The sequence below is a fragment of the Homo sapiens genome, chromosome 10 (assembly GCF_000001405.40).
Source record: "Homo sapiens chromosome 10, GRCh38.p14 Primary Assembly".
NCBI classification, from domain to species: Eukaryota; Metazoa; Chordata; class Mammalia; order Primates; family Hominidae; genus Homo; species Homo sapiens.
The window spans coordinates 17894195-17911720 of NC_000010.11; the positions used below are offsets into that span (position 1 = coordinate 17894195).

General features: G+C 36.9%; 1 protein-coding gene and 1 pseudogene across 1 annotated transcript in view; both read left to right on the forward strand.

Moving 5' to 3' along the window:
- MRC1 (mannose receptor C-type 1) overlaps positions 1–16970 on the forward strand; it is a 101817-nt gene extending 84847 nt beyond the window's left edge. Inside the window, exons 23-30 of the mRNA NM_002438.4 lie at positions 16–118; positions 3840–4072; positions 6594–6759; positions 7779–7928; positions 12692–12805; positions 13340–13504; positions 15112–15153; positions 16021–16970. Coding sequence (NP_002429.1) covers positions 16–118; positions 3840–4072; positions 6594–6759; positions 7779–7928; positions 12692–12805; positions 13340–13504; positions 15112–15153; positions 16021–16271 — 1224 coding nt within the window. The 3' untranslated portion in view covers positions 16272–16970. The remainder of the gene's footprint in view (positions 1–15; positions 119–3839; positions 4073–6593; positions 6760–7778; positions 7929–12691; positions 12806–13339; positions 13505–15111; positions 15154–16020) is intronic.
- Positions 8608–8784, forward strand: LOC124902600 (uncharacterized; annotated as a pseudogene).

Consider the following 17526-nt stretch of genomic DNA (forward strand, 5'->3'; position numbering starts at 1 on the left):
TCCATAAATATACAGGCTGACTGTGTTGTTATTATTGGAGGTGCATCAAATGAAGCAGGAAAATGGATGGATGATACCTGCGACAGTAAACGAGGCTACATATGCCAGACACGATCCGGTAAGTTCTACCAAACCTTACCTTCCTGAAAGAGCTGGGGTTTTTTTTTCCCCACTTTTTTCTTTCTTTCTTTCTTTCTTTCTTTTTTTTTTTTTTTTTTTTTTTGAGGCAGAGTCTCGCTCTGTCGCCCAGGCTGAAGTGCAGTGGTGTGATCTCAGATCACTGCAACTTCCGCCTCCCAGGTTTAAGCAATTCTCCTGCTTTAGCCTCCTGAGTAGCTGGGATTACAGGCACACACCACCACGCCTGGCTAATTTTTGTATTTTTTGTAGAGATGGGGTTTTCCATGTTGCCCAGGCTGGTCTTGAACTCCTGACCTCAGGTGATCTACCTGCCTCGGCCTCCCAAAGTGCTGGGATTACAGGAGTAAGCCACTGTGCCTGACCTCACTTTTATTTTATTTTATTTTACTTTAAGTTCCAGGATACATGTACAGAACATGCAGGTTTGTTATATAGGTATATGTGTGCCATGGTGTTTTGCTGCACTTATCAACCTATCACCTAGCCCCACATGCATTAGCTCTTTGTCCTGATGAACAGCTGTGTTTTTAAATGTACTTTAAAATATATAATCATGGTTGGGCACTGTGGCTCATGCCTGTAATCCCAGCACTTTTGAAGACTGAGGTGGGTGGATTGCTTGAGCCCCCGCATTTGAGACCAGCCTGGTTAACACAGTGAAATCCCATTTCTACAAAAAATACAAAAATTATTTTGTACTTTTACAAAATTATTTTATTTTTGTAGCTGGGACTACAGGTGTGGTGACTTATGCCTGTAGTCCCAGCTACCTGGGAGACTGAGGTGAGAGGATCACTTGTGCCAGAGAGGCTGAGGCTACAGTGAGCCATGATTGTGCTCCTCACTCCAGCCTGGGTGACAGAGTGAGACCCTTTGTCACAAAAATAAAAACAAAAACAAAAATAAAATAAAATAAAATATATGATCATTTCCTTGCATAGCAACAGGTTTGATTGTTGCTTTAATCCATGGAAGCCTATGACAGACAAAAAGGGTAATGTTTTCTATACTTAATTCATGAATCTGCTTTTTTTTTTTTAACCAGACAGTTTTGGGCAGACTAAACCTGTCACTAAAACTTTCTATTAGAAATTTGGGATATTTGCTTACCTGTACCTTTTTTAAATGTCAGAATAGGAATACCTCCCTTTAATTCATGTAATTTAAGAACTTTTGGCATAAAGCATCATTTGTGCCTCATTATTTGTCCTATATCTTGTGTGCCTTAAACATGTGGATATATGATCTGAGTTTCTTTTTTCATCTTAGGAAGCCAGAATATGGTTAAATGAAAACAACACAGTATGCAGATATTTGCTGTCAATTAAGATGGTGTTTATATACATTTTAGTTTCTAGAGAAACTAGAATAAAAATGCCTAGTTGACAGGGCAGGTGAGCCCCGAAATTGGGGCTTACCCCGGGAGGGTTCTTGGCTTCACCCAGGAAGGAATTTAAGGGCAAGCTGGTGGTGTTAACAACTTTTATTAAAGCAACAGTGCACAGCAGCAGCAGACATAGTGCTTCTTGTGGAGCAGAGCTTACGCCATAGGCAGTGAATTCTGCACTCATATTTATACCCACTTTTAATTACATGCAAATGAAGGGGCAGGTTATTCAAAAATTTTTGGAAAAGGAATGGTAACTTCTGGGGGCTGCCACAGCAGTGGTGGGTGTGCCTTATGGAGAGTTTCAGCCAGTCTTCAATCTGGTCTGGAGTGAGTCCTGCCTCCTACCTCATAGCTACACAAAAGGGTCAGAAATTTAAAAATAGATTAGACAAGAGGGTTGAAGGTGGTGAGGGTTGCTGTCATCCTGAGTAGAGTTCTTAAAGGATGGGTTTGTGTTGGAAGGTACTTACTCTCCCAGACCTAAGGAATTTTTCTATACTATTTTGGAAATCAGGGAACTAATGTCAACTCATGACAATGACTGAAAACCATCTAAGATACTTTCAGATGGTTGAGAAGTACTCCTGCAATCCTAACCTTTCTCAATCCAAAAGCCATCCCAGTGCATGTCATTTTTCTCTCTATACTACACTCTATAGCACCAGAATCTTAGGTCAGCAGTAATACCAAACCATGCCATCTTTGCCTCTGTTCTTTGGGACAAGAGGGGACACTCCTTCCAGGAGTGAATGGTGATTCACACGCTTATTTAAAAACTTCTCTTTCTTTTCCTTATACACATACATGATAGAATATGTTGCCACAAATAAAAATCATTTGCAAATTTTTAATGACTTAAGGAAAGATTCACAGTATTAAAGTGAAAAAAGGTAGCATATAAACTTTTATAAACTATAATTTATCACCAGGTGTGGTGTCTCATGCCTGTAATTCTAGCACTTTGAGAGGCTGAGGCAGGAGGGTTGCTTGAGGCCAGGAGTTCAAGATCAGCCTGAGCAACAGAACAAGACCCTGACTCTAAAATAAAATAAAATAAAATGAAATGAAATGAAACAAAAAAGTTGGCACTTCTGTAGTGAAGGACAAGGCCAATGGCAGGTCATGCAGGCATAAAGTGGAACACATTGGAGAAAAGGCCAGTATACACACTGGTAAACAAGGATATCTCGATCCCTAGACCAGAGTAAAGAACCAGATTGCAAATATTTTAGGTTTTGCAGGACATACAGTCTCTACTGCAAATAGTCAACTCTGCTGTGGTCACAGATGATCATAGGCAATACACAAACAAATGAATGTGGCTGTGTTCCAGTAAGACTTTATTTATGGACACAAATTTGAATTTCATGTAACATTTACATGTCATGAAATATTATTCTTCTTTGATTCTTCTCTATCCCCAACCATTTAAAAACTTTTTCAGCTCACAGGATACAAAGACAGACCACAGGTCAGATTTCATCCTCTGGCTATTATTTGCTGACTTCTAGGGCATCAGATAATACAGACAGAAACAAGCTCTTTTGGGAGTCTTGACATGAAGTGGCTCAGAGTACAGGGGGCACAATGCAGTGATTAGAAACACATGCTAGGAGCTTGAGGACAAAAGATCAGAAAGCTGAAGTGATTTGGCTTGTAGGGGCTCCAACCCCTAGGTCAGTTTGGATAAGATTATGGGAGGCTTTACCCATAGGCGAAGGGCATAGAAAATCATCAAGAGTAAAGCTTGATCTTGAGATCAAGGTTAAACGAACCAGGGACTTGTGTATGGCTGCATTCCAGAATCTACACCCGTTACCTGAATGTGCATTACTCACAAGTGAAGTCAAACAGATACAAACTCATGGATCAAGTAGAACAAATGAGGGAGGAAGAGAAAGACTTTTCTTGACTTTGACTTTTAACGTACATGGAAAAATAAAGATTAGCAATGACACAATCATCTATGTTCTTTAATTTGTGGGATTAAACTACGGCATTTCTTTCATCAAGATACCAGATTGGATTGAATTTGTCACATGTTTTGTTTGTTAGTTTAGAAACTTGATCATGTATTTGCCTTAATATTCTAAATATAGTTTGGAATTAATTTAATTTGATCAGGGATACTGATGAAAAAATGTTTGTTTTCTAGTGTGAAATGGCTTATAAAATATTTCTAACAGCTGAATGTTTGGAGTTATGCTACTTTGCTTATTTTTATGATAGATGAGATACACTTATCATTACTGATAAGGCTCAATTACTGTTTATTGATAATGCTAATGAAAATAATGTTTTTATCTAGACCCTTCCTTGACTAATCCTCCAGCAACGATTCAAACAGATGGCTTTGTTAAATATGGCAAAAGCAGCTATTCACTCATGAGACAAAAATTTCAATGGCATGAAGCGGAGACATACTGCAAGCTTCACAATTCCCTTATAGCCAGCATTCTGGATCCCTACAGTAATGCATTTGCGTGGCTGCAGATGGAAACATCTAATGAACGTGTGTGGATCGCCCTGAACAGTAACTTGGTAAGATGCTGGAAATATGTGCAACTTGACATGATCAGTGAATTATGGTTGAATATGATTATCTTTCTGTTTGTTCTGTTGAATACTCATTATGTGTAAGAGACTGTGCTAGGCAATGTGAATGATACTAACATCAACAAGATCCAATCTTTCAGGGACGTGATGCCTTTAAGGATCTGGCAAGCTAGTGATATGTGTCAGAAATCAAACTAAGAATTATCTGATGAATGTTAACTCTCCTATTGCATTAGACTATGAAAATTATATTCCAAATCTCAACAGTTTAATTTATTCGCTTATTGCTTCCAAGGTCATGATTGTAACTATGGCATGAGAATTAAGAAAGCAGGTTAGGGACATAGTTGCCAGTGATGGGGACAATTTTTTTTTGTTGTGGCAAGACGTTCTAGACTTGTTGTAGGTCCTGAGGTTGTGGAGCTCCCATCCATTTGTGAGAAATATTTCATTGCAGTCAGTTCCTTGTATTCCATAATAGACTAAGGTTGGCAAAGACTAGGGAAGAGGCAGAAAACTAAGAATGCTGATAGAGTTGCCAAATTATTCCTAAAATGAGTCTTCTCTGATGCCTAGTCATGCATCTGTCCTCCCTCTATTCATCCTTCTAGCTAGCCAACCAGCAAGCTTCCTAGTAGAAGTAGATATGACAGTCAGCAATTAAGATATAAGAAGTATCAAAGAGAGGCATATAGAAAGTGTCATGAGAAGAGAGAAAAGGGACCAGTTGGGCTAGTGGGGAGGACCAAGAAGGTTCCTCAGAAAAAGCCAAAGTTTATAGATATAGTCTAGGATGGTAGAACATAAGGAAGGAATATCAAGAAGACAAAAAAAAAAAGGAGATAAACTGGAGAGTAGATGAGTGTCAGATGTTATGAAGCTTCCAAGGCCATGATGCAGAGATAGAAATTTACAATTTATACAATGAGTATTTCCTAAGTAGGGAAGTGTGTATTTAAAAGTAAGTAGTTTCAGAATGATTTCTGTGATTAAATTTAGGCAAGACATTTTTACGTCGCTGTTGACTAAGTTTTTATAATTAAGTCATTTGATAAGTCATTTGTTTTCTTCTCACAGACATGTTCACGATTCTCTTATGAGTTTAAAGTAAGCTTTTATTTTTAGAAAGATTAAATAGTTTTTCATTGTGGCAATATTTATGACTACAACAGTATTATTATCTTCCTTATTTCTATAGAGTTAATGATTATACAAGCATTATTTGATTAAATATGGTATAATACTACAAAATTCTAATTTGAGATAACATACTTCTAATTTTTGTCACTGGATTTTTGGCAATTGGCTTCGTAAATTAAATAATGCAGTCAAAAGGGTGATAATTGCTTGAATCTTTGAAAAATTCAGCTACCTCTGATTAATATTATATATCATCTATTCTTAAACAATACCTGTAAAATCTCTATTAGACTGTTAAAAGGATATTATTGATAAATAATATTTTGATGTTTATCAATATTTTGTATGTGATCATAAATTTGTTTCACTAAATTTAATAAGAAATTAACTGTGCAGGCCAGGCACGGTGGCTCACGCCTGTAACCCCAGCAGTTTGGGAGGCTGAGGCAGGCAGATCACCTGAGGTCAGGAGTTCAAGACCAGCCTGGCAAACATGGTGAAAACCCGTCTCTACTAAAAAATACAAAAATTAGCCGGGCATGGTGGCAGTGCCTTAATCCCAGCTACTTGGGAGGCAGAGGCAGGAGAATCATTTGAACCCGGGAGGTGGAGGTTGCAGTGAGCCTAGATCGAGCCATTGCACTCAAGCCTGGGGGACAAGAGCGAGACTTCTCTCAAAAAAAAAAAAAAAAAAAGAAAGAAATTGACTGTGCAAGTAGACTAAAATGACTGGCTTTTTACATCATATATATGTGATGTCATATGGCCGAAAGACCACCTCACTAGAATATAGCTGAAAGACTGCCTCACTAGAAATCAAGAGACTAAGGCTTCTCTCTTCCATACCCTTACCTCTCTTCCATACCTCTCTTCCATGACCTTAGCTAAGCCGTTTACCATTGGTGCTGTTTCAACAACAGAATAATGAGAAGATATGAAGAGATGAGCATTTCTCTCAGGTGTCCATGAATTTAATGAAAATTACTTAATTTTTATTATAATTTCAATAATAATATAAGAAATATCTTATTTGTTATGAAGATAAAACTTCTCTTTTGCCCTGAAAACCTGCAAACAAGGGGAGTTTCACGGAATAAGAGATAAATTTTTTTTTATTAGTGTTTTTTGAAATAACTTCCAAGGATGTATTCCTGGGGATCTCTAAGAAATAACTGTTTCTAAGAAAGGCTGCATGTACTGAATTTGAGTTGACAGAAATGATTTATAGTGTTCTTTTTATTCTCAAATGTTCCAGGTTCTATGTCAAATCATGGTCTTAAATATACTTTGTATTCTTGAATTGGTTCTTTTAGTATTTTCTAAATGAAGCAAGGCTGCATGTTAATGCTTGTTTTTGTCGTTGCAGACTGATAATCAATACACTTGGACTGATAAGTGGAGGGTGAGGTACACTAACTGGGCTGCTGATGAGCCCAAATTGAAATCAGCATGTGTTTATCTGGATCTTGATGGCTACTGGAAGACAGCACATTGCAATGAAAGTTTTTACTTTCTCTGTAAAAGATCAGATGGTAATTGAATATATAAAAACAGTCAGGGGATCTGAAAATTTCTGAATAAGCTACTACATACCACTGTTGATATTATTAAACAGTAATGTGTCTTGGATAGCTAAGAATAATATAGAACATACTCCCTCACCTATCAAAAGACTATCTTTATAAACCAACATACATAGATCAAAATAATGGAGATAAACATCTCCCCAGGAAATTTTGCTTACTTTTGATGTTGACAACACATCTATATCAAAGGAATTTTATCAGAATACATGTAGATTCATCAGAGTCAATGATGGACACCATACTAGAATTCTAAATATAGCCTTTAGTTAATCCCAGGTGCTATTAATAGCTAAGAAAGGGTTGTAGGAATTAGGATCCCAGAAAAGGAAAACAGTGACTTAAAAAAGGAAAGTCACTTTACAAATTACTTTGTGGTGACTTTTAGAAAATTTATCTTTGGGCCGGGTGCGGTGGCTCACCCCTGTAATCCCAGCACTTCGGGAGGCCGAGGCGGGCAGATCACCTGAGGTCAGGAGGTTGAGACCAGCTTGGCCAACATGGTGAAACCCCTTCTCTACTAAAAATACAAAAACTAGCTGGGTCTGGTGGCAGGCACCTGTAATCCCAGCTACTCGGGAGGCTGAGGCAGGAGAATCACTTGAATCCGGGAGGCAGAGGTTGCGGTGAGACAAGATCGCGCCATTGTACTCCAGCCTGGGGGACAGGAGCAAGACTTCGTCTCAAAAAAAAAAAAATTATCTTTGTAGGTATCTATAGATCGATTGTCTTAACTATGAGTGTAACTGACTGCCGCTATACCATAGCACATTCTATTGAAATATATTTAAAGTGGAAAACATTGATAAAAGGAAACCCAATAATAAATATGGTGATCCAAATGATAACCATTGGAAGATTTTTTAAAATAATGATCAATGATCAGTTTTTGTAGCTGCTAATGTATGATGCTACACACTACAGAAACTTCAGGTTTTGCTTTATTTAAAATGTGTTTTTATTAACAGAAATCCCTGCTACTGAACCCCCACAACTGCCTGGCAGATGCCCGGAGTCAGATCACACAGCATGGATTCCTTTCCATGGTCACTGTTACTATATTGAGTCCTCATATACAAGAAACTGGGGCCAAGCTTCTCTGGAATGTCTTCGAATGGGTGAGTGCCACATTTCCTGAAGGAAAACTCCATAATCATCTATTCTGGGGTCCACTGACACTATACATGAAATATACAAAGAATGTAAAAATACCTGTTTATATTTTTAATGATTTATTTTATAACAGAATGGCCAATATCATGCTTCCCAAATGTAATCTCTAAGTTTGTAGCCTCAAATTTTAGAGAATTTAGAGAATTCGGGTAGAAAACAGCGTATTCTAAATGGTTTCTTCCTTTCAGACTTCATGTTGTAAATTGTTAGGATTCTCATCCTCAGTTATTCCAAGTGTTGTACTCACCTCTTATCACTGGTAAGCTGAAGTTTTACAAGTGCCCAGGAACTGTTTTGTTGTACCATTAATAGAAAAGTATTTCTATTTATTGTTTTTGTGAAGACAAATAAAACTCAAATAGACACCACAAAGATGAATGATTTTTCCACCTGAAGTGAAAAATGTCAAATAAAGTTTATTTTAAGGGTACATTTAAAAGCCACTTAGTTAAATCCCGTTAAATATTTTACTGAATTATATTTACTTCATGTTTTTTATGCCCTAACTCAAGAGTTCTCCATCCAACAGTGGTACGCACAGTTTATAACCTCATTTTCTCCACGTTCTTTCAAAAGTCAACCTGACTTTTGACTTTAAATTCTGAGTGAGATGAAGTTTGCTTTAGCTTTGTACAGTGGCAGTATCTTAGCCGATGAGGTTTATCCGAGGCACGATTATTGCTAATTGAAGTTTGCTTTGTCAGTTTTTGATTCATGTACTTTGGGGCCCTGTTGTTAGGTACATATTCGTCTACACTCATTACATCTTCTTGATGTATTAAAAATTTTTTTCCTATGAAATGTCTTTATTGTCTCTAGTACTAATGTTTATCTAAAAGTCTATTTTATCTAATATTTGTGTAGCCACTCCAGCTCTTTTTTGGCTATTGTTTGCTTAGCATATATTTTTCCATGCTTTTACTTTCAACCTATTTGTGTCTTTGAATCTCAAGCGTCTTTTTTAGACAGCACATAGTTGGATCTTTCTTATTAATTAATTTTCACTCTGCCAGTCTATGTTTTTTGATTGTAGTGTTTACTCCATTTACACTTAATGTAATTATAGATAGGTAGAATTTATGTCTGCCATTTTGCCATTTGTTTTCTATATGTCTTATGGTCCCCCTATTCCTCTATTACTGCCTTCTTGTGTGTTAACTAGATAATTTCTTGTGTACCATCATTTTAATTTTCTTTTTCTTTTCTTTTTTTTTCTTTTTTTTTTTTTTTTTTTTTGAGACAGAGTCTCATTCCCTCGCCCAGGCTGGAGTGCATTGGTGCAATCTTGGCTCACTGCAACCTCTGCCTCCCAGGTTCAAGCAGTTCTTCTGTCTCAGCCTCCCAAGTAGCTGAGACAACAGGCACATGCCACCTTGCCCAGCTAATTTTTGTATTTTTAGTAGAGACAGAGTTTCACATTATTGGTCAGGCTGTTTTCGAACTCCTGACCTCAGGTTATCCACCTGCCTCGGCTTCCCAAAGTACTGGGATTACTGGTGTGAGCCACTGCACCTGGCCTCCATTTTAATTTTCTTGTTGTTTCTTTTACTATATATCGTTTGGTTATTTCTTAGTGGTTGCCCTAGGGATTACAACTAACATGTTAATTTACAAAAATCTAGTTCAAAATTAGCCAAGCATGGTGGTGGGTGCCTGCAATCCCAGCTACTTGGGAAGCTGAAACAGGAGAATCACTTGAACCCAGGAGGTGGAGGTTGCAGTGAGCTGAGATCACGTCACTGCACTCCAGCCTGGGCAACAGAGCGAGACTTCATTTCAAAAGAAAAAAATCTGGTTCATATTAATATACATATAAACATTTAATTTTAATAGTGTACAAAAACTTTGCTGTTATGTAGCTCCATTCCCTCTGCCTTCCTCTGTGCTGTTATTGGCAGACAAAAACAACTTTATCCATTGCATACCCATAAGCACTGATTTACAAGTATTGTTTTACACAGTTATCTTTCAATTAGAAAAGATAGAGTTATACATAAAAAGCACATTTAAACTATTTTTTATATTTACCCTTGTAGTTTCCTTTATTGATGCTCTTTATTTCTTTGTGTGGGTTTGAGTTACTGTTGAGTGCCCTTTTATTTCCACTGGAAGTATTTTCTTCAGTAGTTCTTAAAGTGATAATTTCTTTTCATTTTGGTTTAGGAATGTCTGACTTTTTCCTTCATTTTTTGTAAGATAGCTTTGTTAAATAGAAAATTCCTGCTTGACAGTCATTTTCTTTCATCTTTTTCACGATGTCAGCTCATCGCTTGCTGGACGCCATGGTTTCTAATGTGAAATTAGTGTTAAGATCCCTGTACATGATGAGACCCTTCTCTCTCACAGATTTTAAGACTTTCTGTCTTTTGGTAGTTTTATCGTGATGTGTATACATGTGGTGTTAGATGTGGTAGGTGCAGATTTCTTTAAGTGCCTAGAACTAATGAAGTCTCCCAGGTTTTGCAGAGGATCTGTCTGTGTGTTGGGATGTGCCTTTAATATTTGTCCAAGCAGTTACAAACTGCCTTAGCTTTCACTTCCTGCTTGTGTAGTGCATCTTCAGCCAGATGCAAGAACTTAGGACCTTCTCAGGTCTTTCTCAGACATGCACATAGCCTTGGGCAAGGGCACACTTCAATGCATATCTGTAGCCTTCTACATTCCCCGGAATTTGTCAATGCTTTTTAAAGTCTCCTATGAACATCCCATTCCCTAGCTTTTCCTTTTAAGTTTTTCAATTCGCTAGTTGTTTGCCCCAACTATTATCACTGCCTTAGATGGTTACAATGTTAGACAATTGCCACTGATAGTTTTTTACAAACACTTGAAGGGAAAAGTCTGTTTGCACTGACTGAGCTCTGAATCAGGTCAAATAAAGACAAGCTTTGCGAGTGGGGTTTTCTAGGGAACTGTAAGACAGGTCAAGTAATGGAGATTCTCTGAGAATGGGGCTTGGAAAGAGCTCCAACCCCATTTTAGCCTCTCCTGTGGCTTCTAGGCTACTGGTTTTCACTGTGGTTGTGGGGCTGTTGGTTTTTAAGGCTACAGCAGAACTGGAAAGAAGGCAGAGGGATTAGGACAAGTTAAAACACTATAAAACTCACTATCATTACCAAGACACAGTCATTTTTCTTGCATAAATGCTTCTTGAATTATTGCAAGCCTTTGATTAATTTTCAGCATTCTGAAACAGTGGATTTAGAGTTTTCCAGTGTTCTCATTGGTTTTATAGAAAAAATAATTTTCAGAAGAACTTATTCTGCATTTCTCATGATGTCACCTGATGCCTTGTTTGAACTTTTGTAATTAAAAAAATGTTTTCTTCATATTGCTAAGTATTTTTTTTGAAAAAAATTGCAATGAATATGTAGAAACTTTGTTTTCCATTTTAGATGACTCTTTTCTGGTAAATAAAATGAATGCTTCTCATTCTCATTCTCAAAATATGAGTCATAAATATTTTGAAACGGCTAATGTTTGTGAAATATATTTAATAATGGATTATGTAGTCATGCAGTGAAAACAAGGCGATAATTCAGAACTCAGTAATATGGGATACAGGCATATGGTTAGGTACGGACCCTCAAGGTTCAGAAAGCCTGGGTCATACCATGATCTTCCCTCTGCTACTGTTAGGATCTTGGCAGATTACTCATCCTCTGTGCTTTAGTTTCCTTAGCTATAAAATGGGGCAAAGATGGTACCTATTTAATGAAGTGATTGGAAAATTTAATGGGTTAATGCTTGTAAAGTCCAAAGCAAAATGTCCAGAATGAAATGCTTAAAAGATATTAGTTATTATTAAAAAGCTAGAGATTTTTACTCTAAAATTTAATGTTGACAATCTAATGTGGGTTGTCACTTCCATAGCCATCTAACTGGTCTTTCTGTTTTATTTCCTTGCTTTGAATGGTCCTATACATAACAGCTGGATTCTAATAATAACTAATATAGGACCATTCTTAGGTGAAGAATCTAACTGTTATGTATAGGACCAGTCAAAGCAAGGTGATGGGTTATTGCATCATTCAGCTGCCTGAAAAAAAAACTTGGTGTTCTTTATCACCACATTGCTCTTAATACCAATCTCTGGTCTTCTGCAACGAGACCTAACCCATGTCTTTTTTTTTTTTTTTTGCCTGTGGACCAGATTGGTGCTATACTCCAGCCAAACCAAGCTATCTCTGTTCCTGAAGAAGTTCTATGCTTCCCTTCCTCTTTGTCTTTCCTCTTATTACCTCTTTTTCCTGGAATTATTTTCTATCCTTTTTACTTGAAATCCTATTCTTCTCTCTACTGAAATTCTGTTTCCTCTATCCTCCCTTTTATCTGCTTCACCAAGAATGAATATTTCACATGTCTATAGCATATGGCACTTAATTTCTCTTCTATAATATTTCTTTGTACTCTTGTTACTGGCCACTGAACCATAACTTTTGGAAGACATACTCTACATCCTACTAATCTTTGACTATCCTGCAGGAACTAGTTCAGTGCTTGTACTCAAATGATGCTAATGATGCTTAAAAACGTATTTCAGAATGAAAACTAAAATTCTGAGGAAACAAACACCTGCCCTTTGAAATTCTTCCCCTTAAGTGGAGATGTTAGGCTGATTTTTGTTGCTCTCAATAGCAGTGCTGTTTACAAAAATATTTTCAGCTACTTAAATGTGCAGCTATCATATTTATCCTTTTACGCTTTCTAGGTTCCTCTCTGGTTTCCATTGAAAGTGCTGCAGAATCCAGTTTTCTGTCATATCGGGTTGAGCCACTTAAAAGTAAAACCAATTTTTGGATAGGATTGTTCAGAAATGTTGAAGGTAATTTTTGCAGCATGCTTATTTAATCACAAATATTGTAAAATGTTGTATGTAAAACAAGGTTTCGTTTCCAAAATGTGTTGCCTTAAAAATGATTAATTCATGAGGAATTTGAAAATTCAAACTCATATTTTTATTTAAGAACTGAAATTTAAAATGAGTTTCATATCATGCTATCCTCAAAGTTGCTAATTAAAAAATATCTTTTGTAGCTAAGATAGTTTGAGGAGCTTTAAAAAGCATTTTCTATGTTTTCGTGGGGCCAGGAAAAAAATGCTAAGGAAAGGATAAGTATAAATATTTGTACTAATTAGAAATACGGTTTTAACTAAAGCTATACGGTAAACCTATTCTTTTTCGTTTCCTTCCCTGTAATAATTAGTCATTATAGTCTTGCCTGTTAAGTCTGGTTATAAATGACTATTGATTCTAGTATAAAAGAATATGCTTAGAAATTTCACATAAATTGGCTGAACTTATTTTAAGATAGGTTATATTTAACTTTTGTCTTTATTGGTTTTATCTGATGACCAGGGACGTGGCTGTGGATAAATAACAGTCCGGTCTCCTTTGTCAACTGGAACACAGGAGATCCCTCTGGTGAACGGAATGATTGTGTAGCTTTACATGCGTCTTCTGGGTTTTGGAGTAATATTCACTGTTCATCCTACAAAGGATATATTTGTAAAAGACCAAAAAGTAAGTAAGAAGTTTGTTGCATGGTGCATATCACTGGCTGCCATTTCTTTCAAATAGTAAGATATCAGGTATGGAATCATAATGTGATTACGAGGCCATTGGAAGCTCTGTCCTTTCATCCGTGAAAAATCCATTCTGCCGTTGTAGTTCATTACTGTTTGCAGCTCTGCGTGAGTGAGAGACACTCTCTGTCTGCTTAGCTGTTGTATTGATTTTTGTTTATCAGTGCATTTGTAATGGGATATCTGAAGGATTTGCCAAGCTGCAAACAGTCAGGAGAGCCCATCTACAAAGCCTTATTGCATGAGGGAAAAGGTGGTAAAGCCAGTACCAGCCCAAACCTGAGGAGACCAGGGTTCTGGAGAGGGATCAGAATTGATTGTGGAATGAGTCACGTCAGACTAATTCAGTCTCCTTTTAAGATGGAAAGTGAGACCATGAAAGGAACAGGATTGGGGAATTGATAGTGTTGAATGCTCACAAGGTGCCTCTATCTGGAATTTAAAAATATTTTGTTGATATGTCATGTCACATAATATCCCTCCCAATACATTACTGATTAGATAATAGAGGTTTTTTGTTTGTTGGTTTGTTTGAGACAGAATCTTGCTCTGCCACCAGGCTGGAGTGCAATGGTGCGATCTCGGCTCACTGCAACCTCCACCTCCTGGGTTCAAGCGATTCTCCTGCCTCAGCCTCCCGAGTAGCTGGGATTACAGGAGCATGCCATCATGCCCGGCTAATTTTTGTATTTTTAGTAGAGACGGGGTAGAGTTTACCATTTTAGAATTTGGCGGGTCTTTAGGCTTCTCTAACTGTTCTAAGACACACCACATCCTCTGGTACAATGTTGGAGTTGTTTTATTTTTTTTGTTTTGTTTTTGTTTTTGAGACAGAGTCTCACTCTGTTGCCCACTCTGTTGCCAGTGGCGTGATCTTGGCTCACTGCAACCTCCACCTCCTGGGTTCAAGCCATTCTCCTGCCTCAGCCTCCCAAGTAGCTGGGATTACAGGCGCACGCCACTATGCCCAGCTAATTTTTGTATTTTTAATAGAGATGGGGTTTCACTATGTTGGCCAGGCTGGTCTCGAACTCCGGACCTCAGGTGTTCCACCTGCCTCAGGCTCCCAAAGTGCTGGGATTACAGGCGTGAGCCACCACTCCTGGCCTGGAGTCTTATTTTACTTTTCATTCAAATGCTTTTTAACATCTTAGGCTTCAGCAGGCTAATTTCAAAACCCCTAGCCTTGAATGTTTTACTTATGGGTAGATTGGGTAGGTTTTAAGGGTGAGTATCAGTGGCTCAAATGTAACTTGGAGAATCACATTTCCAGATCTTCTAATGTACTCAAACGCACCATACAACCATAGGCAACTGCTATGGCTCAGACAGAGAGACAGATAGATGATAGGTAGGTAGATATATAGATAAAGGTACAGATCTTTTTTTTCTACCTGTATTTTTATATCTATCATATCATAATATCATATATCAATCAACACACATCAAATGTGGAGGATTCCATGTATTTGTGAGCCAAATAATATTTGCTATCTACCTGCAATTATTCTGGGTTTTTATAAATTTTTTTTTTTTTACACACAGTTATTGATGCTAAACCTACTCATGAATTACTTACAACAAAAGGTAAGGCCATTGCAAAATTTCAAGTTCTGTGTTAGTAATACATCCGTACTGTTTGTTTTAAAAGGCATAATCATAATCCCTTCCAACTCCCCTGCTCTCTCAGTAGAATTTGCTTAAGCTAAACTATCCTTTGTCATCAGCCTACTTTGAATAATACTTTAGAAAAAGAGGCCTTGGAGTCAGGTTGGTGTTTTTACTATAAGCAGTTATTGAAGGCATTTTTTTTTTTCGCTCTGTTACAAACAGCTGCCTTGAACCCATGGAAGAAATTTCTCTTAAGAATCTCTGTGGGTTTTTTTCTTTTCTTAGAATTTTTTTTTTGTTTTAATTTTTATAGACTACTTGAATTAGGTAACTGATTTCACTTCACTCATTTTGTTGGCTGCTTAAAAAAAAACTGAAAGTGAGATTTATGGCTTGCCTGTAACCTCCTTATTAACATCATGAGTGCCGTTTGTTTACTAATTACATCTATGAGTTCACGTTTCCACTATTCTTATTTTATTTTTCTCTTCATTTCCATTTTCTTTTAATTATTATCATTACTAATCTACTTATCTTCTTATACTGTATTTTTAACAGCCTTAAATTATTTTGAAATAAGGTATATATATTTTAATACATTGATGAACTAGCCCACTGCTACATAGACAGATGGATTATTCTTGCAACTGAATAATCATCTTAACATTCTGAATAATCCTCTATACCACAGGGACTCTTGTTTTCACATCTTTCTTTTCTGTTTGACAAATGTCGCTTGAAAGAATATTTATGCCTTTTAGTTTTTCAACAAGCGAAGTTCTGCATAGCATGCAACCCTCTGCCTCCCTCCACGTTTTCCATAATGATTTTATTTATTTATAGCTGACACAAGGAAGATGGACCCTTCTAAACCGTCTTCCAACGTGGCCGGAGTAGTCATCATTGTGATCCTCCTGATTTTAACGGGTGCTGGCCTTGCCGCCTATTTCTTTTATAAGAAAAGACGTGTGCACCTACCTCAAGAGGGCGCCTTTGAAAACACTCTGTATTTTAACAGTCAGTCAAGCCCAGGAACTAGTGATATGAAAGATCTCGTGGGCAATATTGAACAGAATGAACACTCGGTCATCTAGTACCTCAATGCGATTCTGAGATATTTGAATTTCATAAAATTGTAACTGAAATTTAAAATTTTTAGTTCAATGTGATTGTTTTCTTTAAAATGAGTACTGAATTGTACTGGTCTGTCCTTTTTTCCTTTGCCTAATTGAAGAAATAATTGCTTGTTTTCTAGCCTGGCAAGATATTTTCATAAAAGAGGGATAACAATGCTGATTACTACCTTTTAAAATATTTTAGATAAATGCACAGCACCACAGCACCACATCTAAGCATTAGTGATGGGTAGCTGATGTCAGCTTCATGTGGATTTTAAGCACTCTAGAAACAATGAAGCTTCTTGGCATATTTTAAGGAGCTCCCAAAATGTGTTACCTATTAAATTGTAACTCAGCAAGTAGAAGACCATTTGAAAAGTCAGGTACAAATTTCCTCAAGTGGCATAAAAATGTAGTCAGTTTTCTCTTTTACCAGTTTTTATTTCCACTCCAATTATTTAGAACTTTATTTGTACATGTGCAGAAGAATAAGGCAGCTGAGAATCTTGTTTCCCCCAAGAGAGTTTTACAGGCTGAGTGTTGCAAATGTGTTCTTTGTCCTGTTATATGTATATCAGGAATACAAGGATGTGAAATAAAACTGTAAATTTGCATAACTGGATGTACTTAGATAATGTGAAATAAACATTAAAGACAAGGTCTATTTTTAATAGATTTGCATTTTGGTGATCTTAGTATAAATTTGCTTTTAAATGAGATGTATTTATCCACTCACTTTACACTTTAACTTGACACTTATGATATTATTTGTAGAGAAATTCTTTAAATGAAACTCATGAACTATTTTGAAAAGGAGTGTTGCTAAAATGCTGTGTGTAAAATGAATTTTTTACCGTAATGATTTTGCCAGATCTTCCTCTATAACATGGACTCAATCAGAATTCAACAATCAAAGCCACTAATACTATTGAGAATCAGAATTCAGAGTATCCTTTTCTCCCTTTAATGATTTCTTTTCGCTTAACAATTTTGCCTTAAAGTTTGAGGTATATTGTGAAATATTTGGGAGGTTTTACATCTGTATTAGTCAATTTTCATACTGCTGATAAAGACATACCCAAGACTGGGTAATTTATAAAGAAAAAGAGGTTTAATGGACTCACAGTTCCACGTGGCTGGAGAGGCCTCATAATCACGGTGGAAGGCAAAAGGCACATCTTACATGGCGGCAGACAAGAGAGAAAAATGAGAGCCAAGCAAAAGGGGTTGC